Here is a 27,186-nt window from a genome sequence, read left to right as displayed (position 1 = left end):
TAATTTTTTTATTTTTAGTAGACATTGGGTTTCACCACGTTGGCCAAGCTGGTCTCGAGCTGCTAACCTCAGGTCCGCCCACCTCAGCCTCCCAAAGTGCTGGGATTACAGGCATGAGCCACCACGCCCCGGCCTGAATCATGTTTTTAAATCCATTCTGCTGGCCAGGTGCAGTGGCTCATGCCTGTAATCCCAGATTACAGGGATTACCCGCCTCCCAGGTTCACACGATTCTCCTGCCTCAGCCTCCTGAGTAGCTGGGACTACAGGCGCCTGCCACCACTCCTGGCTAATTTTTTGTATTTTTAGTAGAGACAGGGTTTCACCGTGTTAGCCAGGATGGTCTCAATCTCCTGACCGTGTGATCTGCCTGCCTCAGCCTCCCAAAGTGCTGGGATTACAGGTGTGAGCCACCGGGCCTGGCCTTTTTTTTTTATTTTTTTTGAGATGGAATCTCACTCTATTGCCCAGGCTGGAGTGCAGTGATGCAATATCAACTCACTGCAACACATACCTCCCAGGTTCAAGTGATTCTCCTGCCTCATCCTCCTGAGTAGCTGGGATTACAGGCACCTGCCATCACACCCAGCGAGCTTTTGTATTTTTAATAGAGATGGGGTTTTGCTATGTTGGCCAGGCTGGTCTCAAACTCCTAAGCTTCAGTCTCCCAAAGTGCTGGGATTACAGGCATGAGCCACTGCACCTGGCCCAATCTATTCCTTTTGATTGTGCTTAATCCATTTACACTTGATGTATTTACTTGTAAGGTAGAGTTTATATCTGCCATTTTGGTATTTGTATCTATAGGTCTTATGTCTTTTTGATATGGCCTGTTTTCTTTTGTGTTAAACAGTATTTTCCAGTGTATCATTTAATTTGATTATGATGTGTCTAGGTGTGGACCTCTTAAGAGTTTATCCTCCTTGGAGTTTTTTTGAGATTCTTAGATGTATGTTTTTTGATCTGGGAAGTTTTGGCCATTATTTCTTCAAATATTATTTCTGCTCCTTTCCCTCCCTTCTCTTCTTCTGGGACTCCTGTTACACAAATGTTGGTATGCTTGATGGTGTCCCACAGGTCTCTGAGGCTCTGTTTACTTTTTTTCATTCCTTTTAAAATCCTGCTCCTCAGACTGAAACTCTCAATTGACGTAGCTTCGAGTTTGCTGAATATTTCTTTTGCTTGCTCAAATCTGCTGCTGAACCCCTCTAGTGAATTTTTCATTTCAGTTAATGTACTTTTGAATTCCCAAATTTCTATTTTGTCATTAAAAATAATTTCTACCTCTTTATTGATAGTTTCTATTTGGTGAAATATTGTTCTCATATTTTCCTTTAGTTCTCTAGACATGGTTTCATTTAGTTCTTTAAACATATTTTAAAATAGCTAAGGTAAAGTCTTGTTTAGGCTTCCTCAGGAAGTTTCTATTGATTGTTTTTTTCCCCCTGTGGGTGGGCCATATATTCCTGTTGTGTTGCATGCCTCATAATTTTTTGTTGAATGTTGAACACTTAAAACATAAAGTGGCAATTCTGGAAATCAGATTTCCCCTCCCCTTCCTAGAGTTTGTTGCTGGCTGTTGTTGCTGCTGTTTATTTAGTAACTTTTCTGAACAAATTCTTAAACTCTGTGTTCTCTGTCATGTGGCCCCTGAAATCTCTGCTCAGTTAGCTAGTGGTCAGCTGATTAGACAGAGAGTTCCTTAAATGCCTAGAACAACCAAGTCTCCTGGTCTTTTCCAAAGAGCAAAGGGCTCTTGTGTCTTTAGGGGCACACTTTCCACACTCAGCTAGGCAGTTTACTACCCTGCCTTAGGCATTGCTTCCTGCTTGCATAGAGCCTCAAGGTCAGCTGTTAAGCGATAGCTTAGTGACTTTCTGGGTTTTTCCCTTGCACAGCGCTATGCATGTGCATTGCCTTCTAGATTTCTAGGAATATGCTGGAGCTTTTCTTTTCTTTTCTTTTTTTTTGAGACGGAGTCTCGCTCTGTCACCCAGGCTGGAGTGCAGTGGCGTGATCTCGGCTCACTGTAAGCTCCGCCTCCCGGGTTCACGCCATTCTCCTGCCTCAGCCTCCCGAGTAGCTGGGACTACAGGGACACGCCACTGCACCCACCTCATTTTTTTGTATTTTTTTAGTAGAGATGGGGTTTCACCGTGTTAGCCAGGATGATCTCGATCTTCTGACCTCGTGATCCGCCTGCCTCGGCCTCCCAAAGTGCTGGGATTACAGGCGTGAGCCACCGTGCCCGGCCTGCTGGAGCTTTTCAAAGCTCCTTACAGACATCTTATTACCCAGCTTTTCCTTTTAAGCTTTTTGGTTAGCCTATTGTTTGCATTGTTACCTACTGCCTCAGGTAGCAATGATGTTAAACAATTGCCCTGATAATTTTCAAGTGATACCCCTGGGGAAAAGGCTGTTTGCACTGAGTCAGGTCAAATAAAGATAAGTCTTGTGAGTAGAGTCTTACAGGAAACCACCATACAAGTCAAATAATGACAATTCTCTGGGAATGGGGCTTTGAAGATGCTCCAAACCTATTCTGCTCCTTCCAGTGGTTGCCTGGCTGTTGGTTTTCAGGGATACTGAGGAGCTGGGGAGAAGGAAATGGGAATAGAGCATGTTAAAATGCCACAAAGATCACTCTTGTTAATGAAATGCTTTTTTTTTTTTTTTTTAAATAAATGTTTCCTAGCTTGCTGCAAGGGGAACATTTGCTGCTTGCTGGAATAAATGTTCCAGAGTTGTGAAAAATCTGATTCTCACAGTTTTGTCAGTATTTGCATGGCTTGTACGGGGCAGAGAACTTCTGGAGGTCCTTACTTAGCCATTCTTGCTGACATCACTCAGGATTCTTTCTTGGAAGTTTCTGTCTTCTTTCGCCCTTACTCCCAGATGGTAGCGACAGCGGCAGGAGGCAGACAAATCCTAGGCAGACAGGAACAGGTCCCCACTGAAACCCAACCTTCAAGCTGAAGACAGTTTGATGCCTAGCTACAAATCCTCGGTAAATCCACAGACCGGATTGAGAACCTGTCTTCCCATCTGGCATGCTTTCCTCTGATTGATCACTAACCTTCATCTATTTTACATATAACTACCCTTGCCTAATTGGTTTTCTACACTGTCATGCCCACCTTTGAGTAGTGCCTTTGTTTTAGCCTTTTTTTTTTTTTTTTTTTTGCATACTCACAAACCAATCAGCACACACTCCCCATTCTGAGCCCATAAAAGCCCTGGACCCAGTCAACAGAGAGATGACCTGACTTTGGGTGGGGGACCACCCTTACATCCCCTCTCCACTGAGAGCTGTTGTGTTACTCAATAAAATTCTTCTCTGCCCTCCTCACCCTTCAGTTGTCAGCATAACCTCATTCTTCTTGGATGCAGGACAAGAACTTGGCAACTGTCAAATGCGGGTATGAACTGTGACACAGGCAGGCTGAGGCACGCCTGTCCCAGCCACAGACCGAGTGCAGATCCCAGTGCACAAGCCAGGCACAGCATGGTGGGCTGAGTGGATGAGGTGCCTCCTGTGGCAGGCCCAGGGCCAAGGGAGGCCCAGGTGGGGACACTGCTGGCCACAGAGGCCCCTATAGGCAAAGTGAGAAAAATCCTGTGTCAGTTGTCCTAAGTTGTCTAAACCACAGCTTATTTTCCCCAGTTCAACATTTTCCTGAGGGTGTCTTCATCTGGGGTGATAGTTCAAATATGGGGTAATTATTAAGTCTACCAATGTCACAGCTGGGTTTCACAGTGTCTCTTTTTTTTTCCACTTTTTTTTTTTTTTTTGAGACAGGGTCTCACTCTGTGGCCCAGGCTGGCATATGCCAGTGGCACAATCTCTGCTCACTGCAACCTCTGCTTCCCTGGCTCAAGCAATTCTCCAGGCTCAGTCTGCCAAGTAGCTGGGACTACAGGTGTGAGCCACCATGCCAGCTAATTTTTGTATTTTTTTTAGAGACAGGGTTTCACCATGTTGCCCAAGCTGGTCTCAAACTCCTGAGCTCAAAGGAATCTGCCTGACTCAGCCTCCCAAAATGCTGGGATTATAGGTGTGAGGCACCACACCCGGTCCACGCGTGTCTTTCATCAGCAAAATGCCTCCAGACAAAAGCAGATTTGAGTGCTAGGATCAGGAATTGTTTCTTGCTTCTCCTAAAGTTTGATCCCCAATTCTTTACTCTCCTTAGCTCTTTGGTGCTTTTGGGAATAATTTTTTTTTTTTCAACATGTTTGCCAGCTTATTTTCTGTGGGAAATTCAGGCCTAATTACCTCGACCACTGTTATTGGGAGTATAACTCCCCACTCAAGGTTTCATTATTCTCCCTCTAGCCTGCCTGCACAAGGCCGTCTGGTCCAGAAGATGGGAGAAGGGGTTGGAAGGAGACAGGGAAGATGAGATTGCATCTCTGTTCTTTATGACCTTGTTTCAGGGGGAGGAGAAACTTAAAGAAAAACCTTTTTTTTTTTTTTTTTTTTTTTTTTTTTCAGAAAAAGGAGACACATTGACCTGGAGTTTCCCCGCTTAGACAATTTCATATGGTTCAACTTATCCGCACTTTGTCCAGTAGGTCACATGATAGGAGATGGCAGTCTCCTGCCATCTGGCAAAGGTCAGAAGGCAGGAGGGGCCTGGTCCAGGATGTCCCAGGCATGGGACACAGATGGCTAGTGGCAGCCACAGGAGGAGAATGACTTGTCCCTGCATGCAGGAAACCTGGAGAAAGGCACGCAGCCAAGCTTGTACCCACGCTGTGCCACTCAGAAGGAAGCGAAAACTCAGCACTGCACATGGCCGAGCAGACCAAAAGCGACTGCGAGGGAAGACGTTCAGCCCAGAAGTGGAAGTGAGCTGCTGCTAAGGCTTTCGGGGAACGTAGTCCCTAGCTGTGCCACATGTCCCTGCGTTCAGGAGGTGCTCTCTTGACATGTGTGTGCAACACACCTGGCGGAACTACACATCTCAACCTCAGCTCATAAAATGTATGATGATGCCAGTGGGCTTCCTTTGGACACCTCTTTAAAAGGCACACCCAGATCTTCCTATTATTAATTGTAAACTGGTGGTGTAAACTTTTCTAACCTGTGTGATGTTACCCTTAAAATGCCTTCCCACTCCCCAACACTGTCAAATCCCATGTTAGGATCCCTTAACCTGAGCAAATACAATTTTCTGCTTACTTTCAGTTATTGAAACTTAGTCTGACCATATATATATAGAGTTTTGTTTTGCTTTTAGAGACAGGTCTTGCTGTGTCACCCAGGCTGGGGTGCAATGGCATAATCATGGCTCACTGTAGCCTGGACCTGCTGGCCTCAAGCCTCCTGAAGTTCTGGGATTTTAAGTGTGCCACTGCACCTGGCGATGAAGCCTGTGGCCTGCCCTGATGGCACCCCTGGGTCCAGCTTCATCCCAGCTCTCTGTGTCGATTCACAGCAGGGCAGCCTAGTTTCCCTTGGGCCTCACGCAATCCTTGCCTCTAACCAGTCTCAAGGTGAGTTTGGCAGAGCAGCCATTGACACAGCCTTATGGCTCCTGCCCACTTGTCCTCCTTCCCAGGAGCTCCAGGTACAGGGTGAACATACATCTGGGTTTTAGAGCACAATCTGAGCTTCCCATCTGATTAGCTTCCCCTTCATTCTCAGGGTCCCTGTTTGGACAATCAATTATAAGGACACCCTATCCAGGAACCACTGAAATCCTGACTTGTGATCTCTGATGTCAAGGAAAACAGATGGAGTGGTCCTATCCTTTCCTTCCCAGGGATAACACAAATGCAGACCCTTAGAGATCTCCACTCTGCTGCTAGGGACTAATCCAGCAGCAGCCCCCTCCCTTCTGAAATCTCCAGACAGTTGGGGGCACCCCTCTCTGTTCGATCCTTTACCACCTTCCACCTCCACACTACAGGGAACACATTTTAAGGAACAAACATTAAGTTCTCCCAAGAACTCCAGGTGACAGCTGTGAAGTGGGCCTGTGGTTTTGCTGGAGATGGAGATGCCAAGCTCCCATGCTTTCAGATCTCCCAATATCTCATTCTTGGTGCCCAAGTCCCCCACCCCTGTAGGGGCAGGGTAGGGGCTTCATCCCAGGAGCATGAGGCCCATCTCCTCTGGATCAGAACCTCCTTACATGGTTTTTATATCTATAGGGGCCAAGGATCAAGTGGCTCTGTGACTCTCACATCTAGTGAGTCCTATGGGACCATGTGTCCAGTCTCTGTGACACCCTTTAGAAAGCAGAGGAATGTGACATTTTGTTTTCACCTTAGGAGCTTTATCAGCAACTCCAAGCCAACAGAAAAGTCCCTGTCAAGATCCTGTGAGAACTCTAACTTTGGAATTGCAAATTGCCAGTTTTTTAATGCAGACAGTAAAATAAAAGCCCCATTAATTACTACAATAATACTTCCTGTTCACAGCTCAATAAAATACCATTATAATTCAGGTCCAGATTTCTTGACTCCTTTATCCATTAAAATGTGTTTGTCTTTTAGTGTGTCTGCTACCTTTCCAAATGGAAAAAAAAAAAGTGTTTGTCAGCTGGTCATGGTGGCATGCACCTGTAGTCCTAGCTGCTTGGGCGACTAAGGACAGAGGATCACTTGAGCCCAGGAGTTTGAGGCTTCAGTGAGCTATGATCACACCACTGCATCAGAGACCCCACCTCAAAAAAAAAGTGTTTGTTAAAAAAGTATGTTTTTCCAAAATGACCAGGGTTTTACTAAAAGTTATTAGCAAAAATTAGTAATATCCTTCCACCAACTCTTGCAAATAGTCACTCATGCTCCTCATCTGCAGGAAGCCCTCTGCTCCTCTGCCCTCCCTTTTTAATTGGTGCCTCAAAAGGCATTTCTGGCAAGTGGCAACGCTCTGCCTGATTCTGACAGTGCCAAGACTTTTTCTTTTAACAATTTTTTATTATTTCCTAAAAATTATTTATTTTTGTTGAGATGAGGTCTCACTATGTTGCTTAGGCTGGTCTCGACTCCTGGCCTCAAGTGATCCTCCCACCTTGGCCTCCCAAAGTGCTGGGATTACAGGTGTGAGCCGCCGTGCTGGGTCCCTCCCTTCTTTCTTAGGCTTGGATCAGCTTCTCACTCTGAGGAGCATCAGTGCTCATTATTCCTTCCCCCAAATCCTTCAGGTGTGCTGGTGTACAAGTTATCCAGGCTTATGCCCTGAGGGAAACCAAGCAGGTGGTTGTGTGGGAGGAGGAATCAGATAAGAAAAAGGAGGCCAACTTTAACTGTAAATGAGTTTAAACATTCACAGAGGCACATACAACGAATACCTATGCACCACTGTGGGGACAAAAGTTTTAAATTTTATTATTTACTATTATTATTTTTTGCCTTTCAAATGAGTTTAATAAAGACTAGTTTGGAAAATAGCGATTTTAAATTTTAATCCACCATGTGACTTCTGACTAACCTAACCCTCAGTCTGGGAATGCCTCTAAAATGTCTAGTTGATGTATTACTCTTTACATAGAAACACCTATTTCCCTTCCCTCAAAACAACCCTTGATGCTGTTGCAGAAATCATAGGCTGTGATACCCGGAGCATTCCCTCAGCACATTCCTTCAACAGCATGTATACTTTCCCCCAAGATACAAGCCCTGGTTCTGATGGGGTGTGGTGTGAAGATCTACCTTCCAGCCACCCAAGACCACACTTCTGTCTCTAAGTTCCCCCTAAAAAATCACCCAAACCGACAAACTGGATTTGTCTGCCTCATTCTTTGGCTTCCCAGCTCCTTCAGCATCTGAGGGTTGCTTTGCATACATGGCCCTTTCACAGAACTGAGCCCTGGGGGAATTCCTATGTCTAGAGCAAGGAAAGATAACTTGGGAGAAGCAGCTGTCAATAAAGGATAAGAAAATCTAGTAAGTGTAACCTGGAAGCCAAGTGAAAAAAAAAGGGTCACTGTGAGGAAGTGATCAACTAATGTATCAAATAATGTTGAAAAGACAAGTAAAAGTGAGGTAAGAGACCAGCAGGACTTATTTTCCAGTCCCAACAGGATAAAGAGAAGAAATGGTGGGAACCAGCAGACAGTGCTGAAAGCAACCTCTAGCTTCCTTCGTTGCTCATTAGCGTAAGACCCTCCCACCAGCACCATGACATTTACAAATACCATGGCAATGGCCAAGAAGTTACCACCCCTTTCCATGACAATAATCCAAAAATTACCACCCCTTTTCCAGAGATTTCTGCATAACCCTCCCCTTGATTTGCATGTAATTAAAAATGGGTATAAATATAGCTAGCCAACTGTCCACAAGTGCTCACTTGGGGTGCACTGCCTAGGAGTTGGATGTGCTTCACAGGAGCAATTCCAGTTCAGTAAAACTTGCTAACACCACTGGCTTGCCTTTGAATTCTTTCCTGGGAGAAGCCAAGCACCTGTATGAGCTCATCTGCCTGCATCAATAGGACTGAAAAAGACCACTGGATTTAGCCACATGGAATCCATCAGGGATCTTTGATGAGAGCAGACACAAAGACCTGATTGGAGTGGGTACAAGAGCGAATGGAAGAAGAGGAATTAGAGATGAGTATTCCACACCTCTACTGAGGAATCTTACTATTGAGTGATGCAAGAAATGGAGTGGTAGGTAGGGAGAGGGGGATATAGCACACACACACACACACACGTATACACACACACATATAATTTGAGATGAGAAAAATACATGTTACTATGCTAATGGGAAAGATCCAGTAGACGAAAAAAAAAATAAATGCAGGAAAGAGAACAACTGTAGGAATTATGCCCTAGTTTAAGGATGGGATCTAATACACTAGAGGACGACTTGATCTTAGGTAAGAGAACAAAGTGTCAACCATAGCAACAGAAAGAATGCAAGAATAAGATGCACAGAGAAGAGGAATTATCTTCTGATTCCTTTTTTAAAAAAATTATTTTTTTGAGACCACGTTATGAGACTCATTTTTTTTTGCATTTTTGGTAGAAACAGAGTTTTGCCATGTTGCCCAGACTGGTCTCGAACTCCTGGGCTCAAGAAATTCGCCCACCCAGCCTCCCAAAGTGTTGAGATTAAAAGTGTGAGTCACTGCACCTGGCCTCTTCTGATTCCTTTTCTTGTTCTCAGTTAACTAGGAAATAAGGTCACCAGCTGAGTGAGGACTGGGCGAAGTGCTGCAGAGGTTAAAGAGAGAAGTCATAAAATAGCAACTTAAAAGAGTGGGACAATGACTGGATAGGAAAACAAATGCTGGAGGATAGCATACAAGAAAAGTGGGACTAATCAGCTGGGCGCACTGGCTCACGCCTGTAATCCCAGCACTTTGGGAGGCCGACACAGGCAGATCATGAGGTCAGGAGTTCAAGACTAGCCTGACCAACATGGTGAAACCCCATCTCTACTAAAAATACAAAAAATAGCTGGGCATGGTGGTACGTGCCTGTAGTCCCAGCTACTCAGGAGGCTGAGGCAGGAGAATTGCTTCAACCTGGTAGGCGGAAGTTGCAGTGAGTTGAGATCATGCCACTGCACTCCAGCTTGGGTGACAGAGTGAGACTCCATCTCAAAAAAAAAAAAAAAAAAGTGGGACTAATTGTCATAGTTGTTTTTCTTCAGCCACATTTAGCTGGATGGATATAGGAGTGGAATAGGCAGCTCTAGGCTCTTCTTTATTGTTTCGCCAGATGCTCTGGTTCCTTCATTTAAAAACTGTATGTTAAATTATAAGAATATGCCATGATTGACTGGGCACAGTGGCTCACACCTGTAATCCCAGCACTTTGGGAGGCCAAGGAAATGGATCACTTGAGGCCAGGAGTTCGAAACCAGCCTGGCCAACATAGCGAAAACTCATCTCTACTAAAAATACAAAAATTAGTCGGGTGTGGTGGTGCACACCTGTGGTCCCAGCTACTTGGGATGCTGAAACATGAGAATCACTTGAACCTGGGAGGTGGAGGCTGCAGTGAGCTGAGATCGTACTGCTGCACTCCAGCCTGGGTGACAAGGCAAGACCCTGTCTCAAAAAGAATATGCCATGACTTATTGTTAACCTATTCACTTCCCAGTATTTCTGTTGTGTTCATATTTTTACTCTTTAAAACACTGCCTCAATAAACATCTTTGTGTGTGTCTCTTTTCCTCACAAGGGAGAATTTCTAGTCTAGGATATGTATCTCCTAGTGGTATTGCTGAGACATGAGATATGCTTAGCTTTGATTTTACTGGATATTGCCAAATTACTCCCCAAAATAATTATACCAAGTTACCCTCTTGCCAGCAGTGTATAAAAGTTCTAATTCCCCTCTGCCAGATTTCTCAATTTTTGCCAGCCTAATTGGTAGGAAACAGTATTACATTGTTTTATTTTGCAATATTCTGACTTCAAGATTGAGCATCTTTTCATTTACCTACCAGTCTTCTTTGTCTAGCAATCAATCTCCACTCAATTGCTCACTTAAAACACTATATCACTATATTAAGTATCTACCATATGCCTGGCATTAATTAGCAGGGTAATAAAAAGAGCTATCAAAACAGACATGGACTCTTGCCTTCCTGGAACTCACCATCTAGTGTAGGAAAAAGAAAACCAAATAATCACAAATACAAACTGTGGTAACATGGAGGACATTAACAGTAATCCATGAAAATTTTTAAAAGGGAGACCAATGTAATTGAAATAGGAGAGTCAGCAAAACCTTTCCTGAAGCACCATTTGCATTTTAACAGATGAGTAGGAATTAACCACCTTAGTATTTTTAAAAAGTGCTCAATCTTGAAGTCAGAATACTGCAAAGTGAAAAGCCTACTGCAGCTATTAAAAAAACCAAGCATCACCACCATCAATATGCCTAAAAGTGCAGAAGTCTTTTCTCATCTTCCATGGAGGTGCGCTAGATGCTCTGGCAGGTAAAAGTATATCATACATATTTTAGGTTTCTTTAATGCAAGCAACAAACATAAAAAATTAGCTTGAGCAAAAAGGAGAAACTGTTGGACTGATGGGGAGCTTCCTGAATCCCAAGGAGAGCTTCAGAAATTGAGCCAGGTCTAAGGACATCAGGAAATAGAAACAAGAACACCATCATGTCAACCTTGTCCTCTCCTACTTCCCATCTCTGGTAAGAAATCAGGTTCCAGGAAGCTCTAGGCCTTTATCTTTTGGCCTAGCAACACAAAAGCCCAAAGTAGGGCTCCTTCCAGCTCTACTTGGAAAAAATTCTGGCAAAGGACTCTGATTAGCTGAACTAGGTCTCATGCCTGCCCCTAAAACTATCAGTGAGCCCCAGGGACATCCTGATTTAGGTTCCTACAGTCAATACAATCAGATTGTTGCAAGAGGAAAAGGGGGAAAATGCTGGGCAAAGACAAGAACTACCACCACACCGCTAACCAGAAGTTATAAGGATTGAATGACAGATGTGAAACACCTAGCACAATGTCTTTAAAGTAGTAAGCATTCAATAAATGGTAGCTATTAACTCACCTGGCTGTGATGAGTTTAGCAGTTAATTCCTCCCTCTTGGTGCACCACTCTTTAATCTTAGCCAAGTTCTGAAAATTGAAAACGACAAACTGACTCCCATTCAACTCAGAAGGCTATTTATTGAAAGAATACAATGATGTTACAAGGATGCATTTCACGTAGCCCTAAAAGGCTGGGTATCCATAAGTGCATGGTTCATGGCTGTTGGGACTAAGAAAGCCTTCTGGTCAATGAGCCACACATATGTCCTGGGCTCCCTCCCTGTCAATGAAGATGTGCTGAGTTTCAGAGTGGTGGCTGGATCTAGGCCAAGCACCAAACACAAACCAGTACTCTCCTTTGGGTCTTCTGGAACTAAGGTTTTATAAACTTCCGTAACAGTGGGGGCAGCACTCAGTTGGTTACAATTCATGCCATTCCTGAAAGTAGTCCACTATGGGGATCCCCAAACAACCAGTAGCATAATGAGTTCCTGACAGGCATCCTAGCCAATCAGTAGGGAGGGTCTGAGTAGAATTACCCATTGTCAAACTATGTATCAGATAATAGAAGCACAGCCTTGGCATTGTGTGTGAGCTAATCATGGTGCACCATAAACAAGGTGTTTTGGATGGTCAGCATCTCAGAAGGGCAGATCTGCCATTGAATATTCCATTTTGCATCACAGAGGAGAGACTAATTGAGCTACACATATTACATTTCAGCCCCCATGCACAATTTTTTCCCTGCAAAGAATGAAGAATACTTGGGTGCTGCTGCATGCCATCCATGATGAGAGAAAGGCAATGAATCCTGCTATGTGGCATGCAAAGAATCCAGTAGGAAAGGTTCACCATCAATACGACCAATATCTTGCCCCATGATTCATATTTAGGGCTGGGAAAATTTATCTATCTTTGGGAGGCAGCTCTTGTGTAAAAGGAATCAATGTCCAGTTGTGCCCAAATTGGTCTGCATGGTCAATGTCAACACACCAACAAAGGTTCTGGAAGTTCCTTTAGGATAGCCCATGGGAGTCATTAGGGGATGGAGCAGGCCACTGAAGCTTAGCTGATGCTTTACTAATAGAAAAGCATTATACAACTAAAATAAATTGATGTGTGTGTGTCTTGCTCTGTTGCTCAGGCTGGAATGCAGTAGTGTGATCTCAGCTCACTGCAGTCTCTGCTCCCGGGTTCCAGTGATCCTCCCACCTCAGCCTCCTGAGTAGCTGGGACTACCACTGCATGCCACCATGCCCAGCTAATTTTTGGATTTTTTTTTTTTTTTAAAGAGATGGGGTTTCACCATGTTGTCCAGGCTGGTCTTGAACTCCTGGGTTCAAGCAGTCTATCTGCCTTAGCCACCCAAAGTGCTGGGATTACAGGTGTGAGACACCATACCTAGCCAAGTTAATTTTTTTAATGGTGAAATCTTTTCTTTGCACATAAAATGAGCCAGTGCATGTTGCTTCTCTGAGTACAAGGCAAAATTTATGGCAATGGGCAATTAGACTTAACTTTTCTGCAAGAAAATTAACGGGAAAATTCTCCTCTTAGTTTTCTGTTGTTTTCCCATTGATCTGATACTGTAGGCTTAAGAAAGTGCTTTTTCATGGGCATGCCATAAAAAGTACAATAAGGGGACTTAATAGTTCTGTGAAACTGGCATATGTTAGCTGAAAGTATAATTGTAACTGGGAAAAGGGGAAAAAAGTCACTAGTAGTTCAACCATCTACAGTTTCTGTTAAATTGTGGTTTGTAAGCCTCCAAGAAGTTGCTTTAAATAGTTTGTGATAAATTTGCATACATTTTGCTCCCACTTATACTTTTAAGAATTCTCAAAGTGTCCAACCCATAGGTGCCCATTAAATGTTTGTGTATCTGATACATCTTAAAATTTATTTTAAAGCCCTCTGAGTCCAAAAATAACCTTTTCACTGGCAAGGCCATGGGGCCCCAAATCCAGGAAACCTGCATTTTTAACCCAGCTTTACCCTTATAGGCTGTATCATACTGTGGAAACCACTTCACATCTTTGGCTTTCAGTCTTCATCTGTACAATGAAGTGGTTGGGCTAGTTGATCTAATTCTTTGAATGGTGACTTCCTGGAGTTGGAACTGGTTTCCATGGTGAAGTTAATGTAAGAGCTGCAGTTGAGTGCAGTTGTCAAGCAATTTTTAAAATGGGTTTTGGTCATTACTGCAGGAATTTGCTTTTTAAAAAAGCTGTTGACATTGGGGGTCACAAGTCAAGATGTTGAAACTTGATGATATCCTGCATACATATATTCAAAAGCAAAGTCCAACATACAGGCATATCATCCCCAACCAGCTACATACATGTAGCTGTTTTTACACTAGTCTGTAATCAGATCTGAGAATGTGTCTTTATGTTAAAAAAAAAAAATCTGTCTACTGGCAGTTTTCTCCACACACAACGTATAAACACACACGTAATTCATTACATTCCCAAGCTCTCTAAGAATCCTCTGATCCTGAATCAGAACATTTTAGCTAAAGCATTCTGCAAATTCCTTAATTTCACGGTTCCTAGAGTTTATTTCGAGTATGAATTCTCTGGTGTTTAGTAAGAGCTGAACTTCGGCTGAAGTTTTTCCCACATTCCTTACAAGAATAGGGTTTTTCTCCAGTATGAATTCTCTGATGATCATGCAGGTTGGTTTTTTTTCGGAAGGCTCTCCCACATTCATTACATTCATAGGGCTTCTCTCCAGTATGAGTTCTCTCATGCTGAATGAGAGATGAACTTTGACTAAAGGCTTTCCCACAGTCAATACATTCATAGGGTTTCTCTCCAGTGTGGGTTCTCTCATGTTGAGTAAGCGATGAGCGTCGACTAAAGGCTTCTCCACACTCATTACATTCATAGGGTTTCTCTCCAGTATGAATTCTGTGATGCTCTATGAAACTTGTACTCCTTTTGAAAGCTTTCCCACATACATTACATTGATAGGGTTTCTCTCCAGGATGAGAAATAGCTTGCTGACTAAAAGCCTGCTCACAATCATAGGGGTTCTCTGCAGTATGGATCCTCTGATGGTCAGTAAAGTCTGTAATGTGACTAAAGTCTTCCCCACAGTCATTACAATGGTAGGATTTCACTTCGGTAAGAGTGCTTTCATCTTGAGTGAGAGATGTGCTGTGCTTGAAATCTATGCTGTAGTTACTGCTTTGGTAAGGTTTGCCTCTCTTATGAATCCTCATATGTTTATAAAGGGATGGGCTCTGACCAAAAGCCCTCCCACATATGCTACATTCAAAAGGTTTCTCTCCAGTATGAGTCCTCTCATGTTGGACAAGGGAAGAACATCGACTAAAGGCTTTCCCACATTCCTTACACTGGAAGGGCTTCTCTCCACTGTGTGTGACCTCGTGTTGAGTGAGGGATGTGCCATGCCTAAAGGACCTCCCACATAGATTACATCGATAGGGTTTCTCTCCAGTGTGAATTCGCTGGTGTTGAACAAGGGAGGAGCTGCGCTGGAAGGCTTTCCCACAGAGACTACACTGATAGGGTTTCTCTCCGGTATGAGCATTCTCATGCTGACCAAGAGATGAGCTATGCCTGAAGGCCTTTCCACATACATTGCATTCAAAGGGTTTCTCCCCAGTGTGAATTCTCTGATGCTCAGTAAGCTGTGTCTTCCAGAGAAAGGTTTTCCCACAGTCGGTACATTCATGGTGTTTCTTTCCAGGATAAATTCCTTGATCTGTTCCATTAGGGAAAGCTCCCTCTCCTTTATGTGTTTTCTCATGTTTAGTAAGCGATGATCTATGAATAAAGGCTTTTCTACATTTATCACACTTATAGGGTTTCTTTTTTGCAAGAATATTATTCTCATTAAGTAAGTCTGCATTATGTCCCAAATTGCTTCCAAGGGTCTCACATTCACTAGGCCTTATTCTTGCAGGAATGTTCAGTTGTGTAACCAAATTGGTGTTCAATCTAGAATTTTCACCAAATTTATTTTGCTCAAAATTTTCTTGTGGTGTAATTATTTTCTTCTGGGTGGATGCCTCTGATCCCAGATGTCTCTTCCAGTTTTCCTGTTGCCTGTCTAACTGGCTGCTAACATCCCAGGAGTCTTCTAATGTAGCATGTAAGAGATCATGTGTGCAGTGGGATACTTCTGATACATCCTGCTGCAAATGTGATGATTTGACTTCAGGCCTGGTCTTCCAGTCTGAAAGAAATCCAAAGTACAAAAGTCCCCTATTCCTTCCTGTTGAAATACACTGCTAGAGTAGGAATGAAGAAAGACATATAAGTTACATATGACTCTGTTTTGAAATTACTCCTGTATCCTGAGAAGACGACCCAAAATGGAGAAAAGGAAAAGTGAAGAAATGATAGCAAAGACTGCAGATTCAGAGTATGTGGTAAGTCCAGAGAATGAGGAAAGCCCATCTAGGAGGGTTGGTTAGAAAATAAGGAAATAAGTGAGCAGGACTGTGTTAGGCACAGATACAAATGGAACAGGATCACAGCCCATCTTAGGATCCTATATGCTCTCCATGCCTCCTATCCTTTTATAAACCACCACAAAATCTGTCTTCCTAATATATCCATTTCATAATTTCTTTACTGTCAACTCTCAGGTTCCAGGTCTCCAAATGCTGCAGAGAAAATCTGTACCCAGTGATACAACTGAAAAGATTATTTGAAATACTGCATTTTCTCAGTTTGTAAAGTATAACCCTTGGAGATCAAGGAGGTCCTTGATCAGGAGGCAAATCATCTTTGTCTTTACAACTGGTACTGTGGTTTTCATCTATTTGAGCTCCGGTTCTACACTAATTACCTCCTTTGACCAAAAAATTTATTTCAATCTGGCTAATAAATTGATCTTTAAGTCCCTGTTTTTACTTCAGAACACTGATACAAGCAAATTGATTTTTAGGGTTTAAGAACGATAACCTTTAAAAACTAAGGGCAGAGAGCTTTTTGGAGTGATGGAAATGTTCTATGTCAATAGGAATTTGGGTTAGGCAAGTGAATGCATTTGTCAAAACCAACTGGATGGTACATATAAGACTTGTACATTTCACTGCATATAACATTTTCTTTTAAAAACTGAAAAAAATTGAATTCTAGTTAACGACATACATACTAAAAGTGTAGGGGTGAAATGTAATTATGCCTGCAACTTACTTGGAAATGCATCAAAAAGTAAGATGGATTGATAGATGGCTAAAGAAATACATGATAAAGCAAATAAAACACATGTTAACAAAGCAAATAAAATAACATGTTAACAACAACAAATGTGATAATCTTGGTGGTAGGTATGTGGTATTGACTGTAAAATTTTTTTCAACTTTCCTATTTGAAAATGTTCCTAATAAAATGTTGAGAGAGGAAATCACAATAAGACCCTAAATCCCCAAACTCCTTACCCTGCAATAAGAATCAACTCAACTCCTGAGGACAGAGAATGCCTTGTAATTTTTTTAAGAATTGTTCTCAGTGGGACATGCAAAAAATGCTTGTGGAAATGATTAAATGAGAAAAGTTTTCTTGCTAACCAGATTTCTTACTGATCAGTCAAGTATGTTCTGATTGCTTTCTATATGCTCTGCCACACAGATAAAATATATTAAAATACCATAATAAACAGAGCTTGAAGAGAAACAAGACAATCTTTTGGCAACTAGAAAAGGGTAAAACCATCAGATGGCATATTATTAAATCTGAGTTTTTATAGTGTAGATGATATAAATGATATTTGTTGTCAGGAAAGGAAGAAATAAATATTAGTATATATCACATCTCATGGATTAGATAGATTTTGAACTCAAAGAACAAATGGCTTTGGATAGGCAGAATATATTGCCTAATGAGGAAAAAGATATGCTGCATACAGAGAATATTAAGAGAAGTTCAACCTAAGGGGATCTGTTTTAGCAGGAATAGAAGGATAATACTGGAAGTACGATAGGGAACTTTTAAATCAGGGAGTTTCTATTTTCTATAGTAAAGTACAGAGAGTAATAGCAATGGTTTGTCAGAAATTTTAAGAAGATAAAGCATTAGGCTGGGCGCAGTGGCTCATGCCTGTAATCCCAGCACTTTGGGAGGCCTAGGTGGGCACATTGCCTGAGCTCAGGAGTTCGCAACCAGCCTGGGCAACACGGTGAAACCCTGTCTCTATTAAAATACAAAAAATTAGCCGGGCATGGTGGCGTGTGCCTGTAGTCCCAGCTACTCAGATGGCTGAGGCAGGAGCATTGCTTGAACCCGGGAGGTGGAGGTTGCAGTGAGACGAGATCATGCCACTGCATCATGCCATTGTACTCCAGCCTGGGTGACAGAGTGAGATTCCATCTCGGAAAAAAAAAAGAAGATAAAGCATTAAAATCCAGTGGCTGGGCATGGTGGCTCAGGCTTGTAATCCCAGCACTTTGGGAGGCTGAGGTGGGATGAACATATTAGGCTAGGAGTTTGAGACCAGGCTGGCCAATAGCAGTTTAGTAGAAACCCCATCTCTACTAAAAATACAAAAACTAGCCAGGCGAGTTGGTGCGTGCCTGTAGTCCCAGCTACTTGGGAGGCTGAGGCATGAGAACTGCTTGAGCCCAGGAGGTGGAGGTTACAGTGACCTCAGATCACAGCCACTGCATTCCAACCTGGGTGACAGAGTGAGATTCTGTCTCAAAATAAATAAATAAATAAATAAATAAATAAATAAAATCCAGTGTGGTTCAGCAACTGATGAATAACAAAATGTGATATATCCATACAATGGAATATTCCTCAATGGTAAAAAAGAATGATGTACTGATACATGCTAGAACATGATTGAACCTTGAAAACATCATGCTAAGTGAAAGAAGCCAGTGCCATATTATATGATTCCATTTATACAAACTATCCAGGATATACAAATCCATAGAAATAGAAATTAGATTAATGGTTACCAGGTACTGAGAGGAGTGGGGAATGGGGAGTAACTGTTAATGGGTATGACATTTCTTGCTGGTGTGAGGAAAATGTTCTGAAATTAGATAGTGTTGCTGTTTGTACAACTATCTGAATATATGAAAAAACCACTGACCTCTATGCTCTAAAGGGGTGAATCTCATGGTATGTGAATTATACCTCAATAAAGCTACAATTTTAAAAATCCATTTGATTTATAAAAAGAAAAAACAGAGTGAGCTATTCCAACTGGAAATTATAGCAATCTAAATCTGGGACCTCAGCAGTGGCTCACACCTGTAATCCCAACACTTTGGGAAGCAAAGGGAAGAGGATTGCTTGAGCCCAGGAGGTCAAGGCTGCAGGGAGCTGTGATAGAGACACTGCACTGCACCCTGGGTGACAGAGCAAGACCCTGTCTCAAAATAAAAAAATTAGGCTGGTGTGGTCACTCATGCTTGTAATCCCAGAACTTTGGGAGGCCAAGGTGGGTGGATTGCTTGAGCTCAGGAGTTCAAGACCACCTGGGCAACATGGTGAAACCTCGTTTCTTCCTCACTAAAAATACAAAAAATTAGCCGGGTGTGGTGGCACATATCTATAGTCCTAGCTACTTGGGAGGCTGAGGTGGGAGGATTGCTTGAGCCCGGGAGGCAGAGACTGCAGTGAGCCGAGATCACACCACTGCACTCCAGCGTGGGTGACAGAGTGAGATCCTGTCTCAATAAAATTATTAATTAATTAATTTAAAAATCTGGGCCCTGGTTTACAGTGCCACCAGTAGAAGTTAAAAGGCAAGAAAATCTAAGCTACTTCTCATAGGAAGAAAACAACCTGGGTTGAAATAAAAGACTAAACTAATTAGGGTATCCAGCCTGAGCAATTAAAAATCCTTTGGATTCTAATAGGCAAGGGTAGAAATGAGAAATAGGCAAGGTAGCAAAACATACTGGTGGGGGATGAAAGGTGACGGATTTAGATTTTATGTATTTAATATGAACTATGTGACTTCTGAGAAGGATAAAAGTAACCATGGTACAAATAAGGAAGACTTCTGAGTCTATGGCATAGAATAAAGAGCTGCAACTACCAGGAGGCAGGTACTCTGTTAAGGAGGTAATCAAGAAAGGAGGCTAGAAGGCAGGTTCCTTAAGGCAGGGTCACTTAGGCAGAAAAGCAAGAAAAGCTAAAGACCTAAAGCTAAGCAGCTCTTAACAAGCGAGGAACTGGGAGATGAGGATACTACAGAACTGTGGAGGGAGGTAATGAGTCAAAGCAGCATGAACATGAGATGGAAGGAAGATGGTGGCAAGGCACATAGTCTGAAGGCAGGTTATCAAGGGAGAGAGAATCAAGGAAGGCTGTGGGTGTTTCCTACAAGTCTGGGGCATCTGACAGTGAAAGCAGCAAGACTAAACAAGGAAAAGATGGGGGAGATCAACACAACAAAGAGATACGGGAGTTCAATTCAGGGAAGAAATATGGGAGTTCAATTCTGAATGAGTAAGAGAAGGGATCTCTAATTAATGAAGGGAATCAGAGGCCACCAGAGGAAAAATAATCCAGCAAGAGCATGAGCACCCTTTTGAAGAGAGACCTACAAGGTGTCGGCCAGGCGATGGCTTCAGCCTCCTATGCAGATCTAGGAGATCGCAAGCCAGCTGCTGGAGGGTATCTCCCCCTCCCTAAGTTGTGCCATTAACTGCATTCATTCCTAATGCCTGACTCTCACTCATTTACCTGGATAGAAAGGTCGTTGGATTTCTCCCTCTGATATCCATGGCTCTTCTCCTTGCTCCAATTTGAAGATCACCTCTGGCTTGGAAACTTGATATCCTGCTCATGGGTAAATACACAAGATTTGGTTGTTTGTGCAAGTGGACAAAGAACCCTCCTAAGGACAAGTCAGTACTAGTCCTTGATCCTCAGGAACTCTGAAGGAAAAAAAAGGTGCAACTTAAGGAGTCATGCAATCAAATTGCCTATTTCCAGTTTTGCAAAATAAAGACCTTTTACCTAAAGAGCAGGCTCAAAACCCCATAAAACTGGGTCCCAATGAGATTAACAAGCTCTGACCCCTGAGCACCCTGGTCACAGTTACCTAAGCTCTGGGCACCACCACTATAGCAACCAAGGAAGGAAAGGCCCATCAGCAGGAAAGACACTCAGAGAAGTGGTCCTTACCAAGAGAAACCAGGTGGCTATAGTTCTCCAGCATCACATCCCTGTATAAGCTCCTCTGAGCAGGGTCGACATGGTACCATTCTTCCTGGGTGAAGTCCACAGACACATCTTTGAATGTCACTGATTCCTGTAAAATCACATTCCTGTTCAACTGGGGATCAACCCCACAAATGTTCTAAGGCAATGCTGGGAACATACTGCAGGAGCTATCAGAAGTGGTGATCACACATTTGTTAGATTGAGGAGGCAATGTTGGGTTACATAAACTTATTGTTTACATAATTTTGTAAAGGATCTAGTATGTCAGGCAGGAAAGTTATGAGGGGCAATTTGTCCTGCAGACCTGTATTGCTACCTAGCTATCTTCTTGGTTTCTTTCAAAGCCAAGCCTTTTTATACAATCACCAAGTCATTGCTGCCTATTCACTTTCTTTGTTACAAAATCCAAATACAGTGGGTAGTAAAAAGTGATGACCTTCTTTCACCACCATAACCAATCCCACTTTACTTTCAGAAATAACCACTCTTAATAGTTTGGTGTATACACAAAGTCCCTTGTTCATGTTTATTAACACCCCACCCACCCACTTAACCATACTCACACCCCAACACAGAATCTTGTTTTATGAAATACCATACATATTGTTCTACAACTTACTTTTTGATTTAGCTATGTATCCTAGAGATCTTTGCATAGTGGAATAATTGCACCTTATTGAACTGCTTCATAGTACTCCACAGTACACCTGTATCACAGGTACCCACTGATTAAAACCAACAACACCTCGCCGTATTAATAATAAAATGCGACAGGGCACGCGGGTGGTTCACACCTGTAATCCTAACACTTTGAGAGGTCAAGGCCGGCAGAACGCTTGAGCCGGTTCACTTCCTTTGTTACAGGAGCCCAAGAGTTTGAGACCATCCTAGGCAATAGAGCAAAACCCCATCTCTACAAAAGATCAAAAAATTAGCCTGGCATGGTGGTGTGTGCCTACAGTCCCAGCTACTCAGGAGGCTGAGCTGGAAGGATCACTTGAGTACAGGAGGCAGAGGTTGCAGTGAGCCATGATCATGCCACTGTACTCCAGCCTGGATGACGGAGTGAGACTGTCTCAAAAAAAGAGAGTAAAATGCAATTCCCTCATGGCTCACCAGGCTGTCGCATGCTGATCTTGATGTTCCTTGACTACATCAAACTTGTTCCCAGCCCTTTTGTTATTCCCTAGCCTCCTGCATGTCCACATGGTTGACAACTAGTTAACCAGTTATTCAGGCATCATCTCAAGCATGGCCTCCTCGGGAAGGCTGTCTTAGCACCTCCACTATCCATCGCATTTTGTGTTTAATTTTCCTGCTAGTCCAGCTATCTCTCACTGCCCAGTTCTTTTCACCTGAACTCAAGAACAGATTCCGAGAAAAAGGACACTTGTGTTTCTAGCAATGATCGGAGATATTAGCTTGTTACCCTATTGTCTGTCTCTCCACTGTAAGTTCCATGGGAACAGGGACTTTATCTTGATCAGTTACATGCCTGGTGCCCAGAACAACGCCCGGCACCTAGTGGGCACTTAAAAAATACTTGCTGAATGAATCAATGAACCAGTCCCTGTCAGCAGGTACTGTGATTATTTCCAGTATTCTGCTATTGTAAACATTACTGTAATAAATATTCTTTGGGCAAACATGCTAGGATTTCTCCTGGCTCGCTAGCTAAAATTACAACGGCTAGGTCAAAGGTCTTTCACTGCCTCATACCCTACTCTAATCACTTTTTCCTCTACCATCCCATGGACACATGGCTGGCTGGCTGGCTGAGGTGCCCCATGCCTCCCAATTGTCAGCTCTGATGCTAGAGAGCTGATTGTCTAGAATCACTTGGCTTTGTTAAACCATGAGTCACCTGTGACCATGGCCTCCTTGAGCTATGTACTTTTGGTTAGGCTTTTTTTTTGGAGACAGGATCTCACTCTCTCACCCAGCTTGGAGTCCAGTGGCTCAATCATGAATCACTGCAGCCTCAACTGCCTGAGCTCAAGTAATCCTCCCACCTTAGCCTCCAGAGTAGCTGGGACTACAGGCATATGCCACCATATCTAGCTAATTCCTGGTTAGACTTCTGTCTCAGAAAGTATATAATAAAGTATGGCAAAGACAATTAGTGCAAAAAGACATCGAAAGCAGAGCTGAGTTAGCTGGAGCAGTGAGGGAAGGTTTCACAGAGGCTTCAGCTTATTCTGTACCCTTCTCTTGTTTGCTTAGGTATAGCTGAACCGATTCACTCAAATTCCTCAAGAGTATCATTCTGTCCTCCCATTTCCCTTAGCTAATTCCATTTCATACTTCAGGTGCCAGTTAGCAGATCTCCAGTGAAGTCTTCTGATCCCCCACTGGAGAGTCAACCTCCCTATCATGTGCTTTAAACCACTCTGCACACCTACCATTATTCAAACAAACCTACTCATCTATTTAATGCTTGTTTTCCTAGTTAAATGGTACACATTATGAGGGCAGGGATAATACTTTTGGTTGTTTTTGAAATTCTACAACACCATTGTCCAGCAAGTACCTGACTCACACTATATCTCTGTTTCCTGAATGAGTTGAGCCTTAAGGAGATGGATGACATTTGAATATTAAAGAAGGCAGGAGTGGCCCCTTCTACTGAGTGAGGTGCATGACCACATCCACACACCATACTGGCTCCTCTGCCCCATATTTCTGTTCAACACTTGGCTGTGTCCCTGCAGGAACAGGGGAGGGATGAAACTGGGGCCATTTTTCTGATCAAGGTTAGAGATTTGACAGACTAGATATTTACAAGGTGCCTGGATTTACTATATACACTGTGGCAGACTAAAAATGCAAAAGAAAAACACTGCAGTCCTTGAATACGGTTCAGTTTATTTTAAAAGCGTTATTTATTAGAGCACAATATGAGACAATACACAGTAAGGTGAGGTGCTGCAGGCGCTCAAAGCACAAAAGATTGGGAGAGGGAGAGAACACTTCAAGGTAGGCTCTGTACCAGGTCCTAAGAGGTAAGTGCCACCTGCATGGAAGAAGAAAATGTGGGAATCCAATCCAGGGACTGGGAAGCTTGAGAAGGGAGGCTGGTCTTGGGAGAGGCATGGCCAGCAAGGATAAAGGGGTTGGACCAGCCATTTTGAGATAAGTGGTGAGAAGTAAAACCTTCTCCCCACTGCCTACTCTACCCTCTAGACATATTGTCTCTTCGGTTTAGTAATAGTCATTGCCCAACCAGGACTCCTTTGCTTAACTGGTTCCTCATATTTAACATATGGCCTCCTGGTTTATTTTGTTTTATTTTGTTTAATAGAGATGGGGTCTCACTATGTTGCCCAGGCTGGTCTCAAACTCCTGGGCTCAAGTGATCCTCCCACCTCGGCCTCCTAAAGTGCTGAGATTACAAGTGTGAGCCTCTGAGCCTGGCCGGCCTCCTGGTTTCATTCTGCTTTCCCAAAGAGTCTGCACTCAAGGTGAAGAATGTGCTAACCAGCAAGCAAACGTCTGCTCCAAGCCACTCATAACTTCTTGCCTTGACAGGGCAACCACTGGCCTCTGTTCTTTAACTCTTGATCCCAATCCCCTTTTTCTCCCCTGGGCACTATCAGAGTTACTTCAAAACACAAATTTGATCATGTTCACAAACACTTCACTGCAGCCAGGCTGAGTGGCTCATGCCTGTAATCCCAGCACTTTAGGGGGCTGAGGCGGGTGGATCACCTGAGGTCAGGAGTTCAAGACCAGCATGGCCAACGTGGCAAACTCTTTGGGAAAGCGGAATGAAACCGTCTCTACTAAAAATACAAAAATTAGCCAGGCGTGGTGACGGGCGCCTGTAATCCCATCTACTCGGGAGGATGAGGCAGGAGAATCACTTGAACCCGGGAGGTGGAAACTGCAATGAGCCGAGACACCACCACTGCACTCCAGCCGGGGCAACAGAGCGAGACTCCATCTCAAAAAAAAAAAAAACAAAACAAAACACAACCCATAAACCCTTCACTGTCTCCCACTTTTCCCTATTTCTGTCACCCTCACCCTAGTTCGTGTCACCATCTCTTACCTGAACTACTGCTACAACCTCCTAGTTCATCTCTCCTCTCACTCTTGCCCCACCACCCAAGTCCATTTTCCACATTACAACCAGAGAGATCTTGTTAAAATCTGCCAGACTGCTGGGCATGGTGGCTCACACCTGTGATCCTAGCACTTTGGGAGGCTGAGGTGGGAAGATCACTAGAGGCCAGGAGTTCCAGACCAGCCTGGGCAACACAGTGAGACCCCATCTCTAACACAAACAAATTTTTTAAAATTAGCTGGGCATGGTGGCTTGCATCTATGGTCCTAGCTACTTGGAGGGCTGAGGCAGGAGGACTGCTTGAGCCCGGGAGTTCAAGGCTACAGTGAGCCACGATGACACCACTTCATTCTAGCCCGGGTGACAGTGCAAGACCCTGTCTCAAAGAAAAACAAAACAAAACAAAAATCTGCCAGATCAAGTCACCTCTGTTTCAAGGCCTCCAATGGCACCGATTCATTTCAAGTAAAGTCAAAGTCTTTATGGCCGCCTATAGGCACTTCACAATCTGGGTGCCAGCTAGCTCCCTGACTTCACCTCAAGCCTCCTCCCCTGCCTGCAGCTCTCGCCTGCACCCACCCCACCCTCCTTCTGATTCCTGGAAGACACTAAACCTACTTCCTCCCTGGTGCCTGTGTTCCGCCTTTTCCCTTGACTTGAAAGCCTCTTCCTGCATGTACGCCCGTGGCTCCCCACTCACTGGCTTCAGCTCTTTGTTCAAATGTCACCTTATCAGAGCAACCTTCCCTCACCATCCTACACAAAATAGCACCCCATTCTACATTCTCACTGTCTTTTTCACAGCCTTTGCCACCTGACATATCATGTTTACGGTCTATATCCCAAAGCAGAATGTAAACCCCGAGAGCAAGAATACTATTTATTTTCTTTACTGTTGAATCTCCATTGTCTAGAACAGACCTGACATGTAGTAGGTGCTCCACAAATATTTAATACATTTTTCTTTTGAGACAAGGTCTTGCTCTGTTGCCCGGGCTGGAGTGCAGTGGTGCAATCATAGATCACTGCAGCCTTGACCTACCGGGCCTAGGCAATTTTCCCATTTCAACCTCCTAAGCAGCTGGGACCACAGGTGTGTGCCACCATACCTATTTTTTTTACTTTTGTAGAGATAGGGTTTCTCTATGTTGCCCAGGCTGGTCTATGAACTTATGGGCTCAAGCAGTTCTCCTGTGTCAGCCTCTCAAAGTGCTGGGATGACAGGTATTAGCCACCATGCCTCATCCACAAATATTTAATAAATATTTGTCTTGAGATTAAAACTTAGATTCCTCAGTGTGAGCTTCAGAGCCCTTCATGGCCTAGTCCCCTGGGGACCTCCACAGCCCCCACTCTGGCTTCTCCTCCCCTCAGACACTAACATTTGGCCATGCAGAAGAGTTACAGCTCCTTGAAACCAGAACGTTCTTTCACCTCGGCAAGCGTTACTTCAAGCGCTCAGCCTTTCTTCCTCGGCTTGGCTAAGGCTCACTCTTCACTCTTCACCAAGACTTGGTCAAGTTCTCTCCTCTGGGGCCCCATTCGTACCCCAGGTCTGGGCTGTGTCCCCCTCCCATCCCAGCAGCTCTCCTCCCTGGGCCTCTCTCTAGCACAGCTCATAAGACACTACTACATTCAGGTGTCTGTTACCCAGTGGTCACTCCTACCAAACTGTGCTCCTAGAAGGTCAAGACCTTGGCTCAGGCACCTTCAAATTTCCAGAGGCGAGAACCAGTTTGGTACATAACAGACAATCAAAAGTTTGCCGGAGTAAATAGGTAAAATGCACTCTTGGTGGAAGTTAGTCACTCTGAGTCAGATCAACTTCAGGGCATCTCATGCTACAGGTCACACCTTGAACCCTAATAAATGATCCAGTAACACCTTGCAGATAGCTGCTCATCCTTCTTCCAGATGTAACAGGACTTCATCATCAACCCCTTTTAAAAACTAACAAAGCAGCCAGACGCAGTGGCTCATGCCTGTAATCCCAGCACTTTGGGAGGCCAAGGCGGGTGGATCACGAGATCAGGAGATCGAGACCATCCTGGCTAACACGGTGAAACTCCCTCTCTAATAAAAATTTAAAAAAAATTAACCGGGCACGGTGGCGAGCGCCTGTAGTCCCAGATACTGAGGAGGCTGAGGCAGGAGAATGGTGTGAACCTGGGAGGCGGAGCTTGCAGTGAGCCGAGATCACGCCACTGCACTCCAGCCTGGGTGACAGAGCCAGACTCTGCCTAAATAAAAAAACAAAAACAAAAACCAAAAAGCAACGAACAAAGTTATTAAGAAGTATCACATGTTCCAGACAGGTGCAGTGGCTCATGCCTGTAATGCTACCACTTTGGGAGGCCAAGGCGGGTGGATCACCTGAGATCAGGAGTTTGAGACCAACCTGGCAAAACCCTGTCTCTACTAAAAATACAATTAGCTGGACGTGGTGGCGGGCACCTGTAATCCCAGCTACTTGGGAGGCTGAGGCAG

At 43.7% G+C, this 27,186-nt stretch overlaps 1 protein-coding gene across 17 annotated transcripts in view; it reads right to left on the bottom strand.

Moving 5' to 3' along the window:
* Positions 1 to 2,212: 2,212 nt before the first annotated feature.
* Positions 2,213 to 27,186, bottom strand: part of ZFP90 (ZFP90 zinc finger protein) — a 43,028-nt gene continuing 18,054 nt past the window's right edge. For 5 of the 17 annotated variants that reach the window (XM_017022952.3, XM_024450159.2, XM_005255804.3 and 2 more), the window contains 3 exons: positions 20,595 to 20,721; positions 20,151 to 20,246; positions 11,588 to 15,675 (listed from right to left, as the gene is read on the bottom strand). In XM_017022952.3, the coding sequence (XP_016878441.1) occupies positions 14,021 to 15,675; positions 20,151 to 20,246; positions 20,595 to 20,721 (1,878 nt within the window). In that variant the 3' untranslated portion in view covers positions 11,588 to 14,020. Of the gene's footprint in view, positions 2,594 to 2,646; positions 2,929 to 11,587; positions 15,731 to 20,150; positions 20,345 to 20,594; positions 20,722 to 27,186 lie in introns of those variants that run through there. The other 12 variants (XM_047433641.1, XM_047433639.1, NM_001305204.2 and 9 more) reach the window with 5 other exon arrangements.

This window comes from Homo sapiens, chromosome 16 (genome assembly GCF_000001405.40).
Source record: "Homo sapiens chromosome 16, GRCh38.p14 Primary Assembly".
In the NCBI taxonomy this organism is placed as follows: domain Eukaryota; kingdom Metazoa; phylum Chordata; class Mammalia; order Primates; family Hominidae; genus Homo; species Homo sapiens.
Note: the sequence above shows the minus strand (reverse complement) of the source record. Positions and strands in the feature narration are given on the sequence as shown.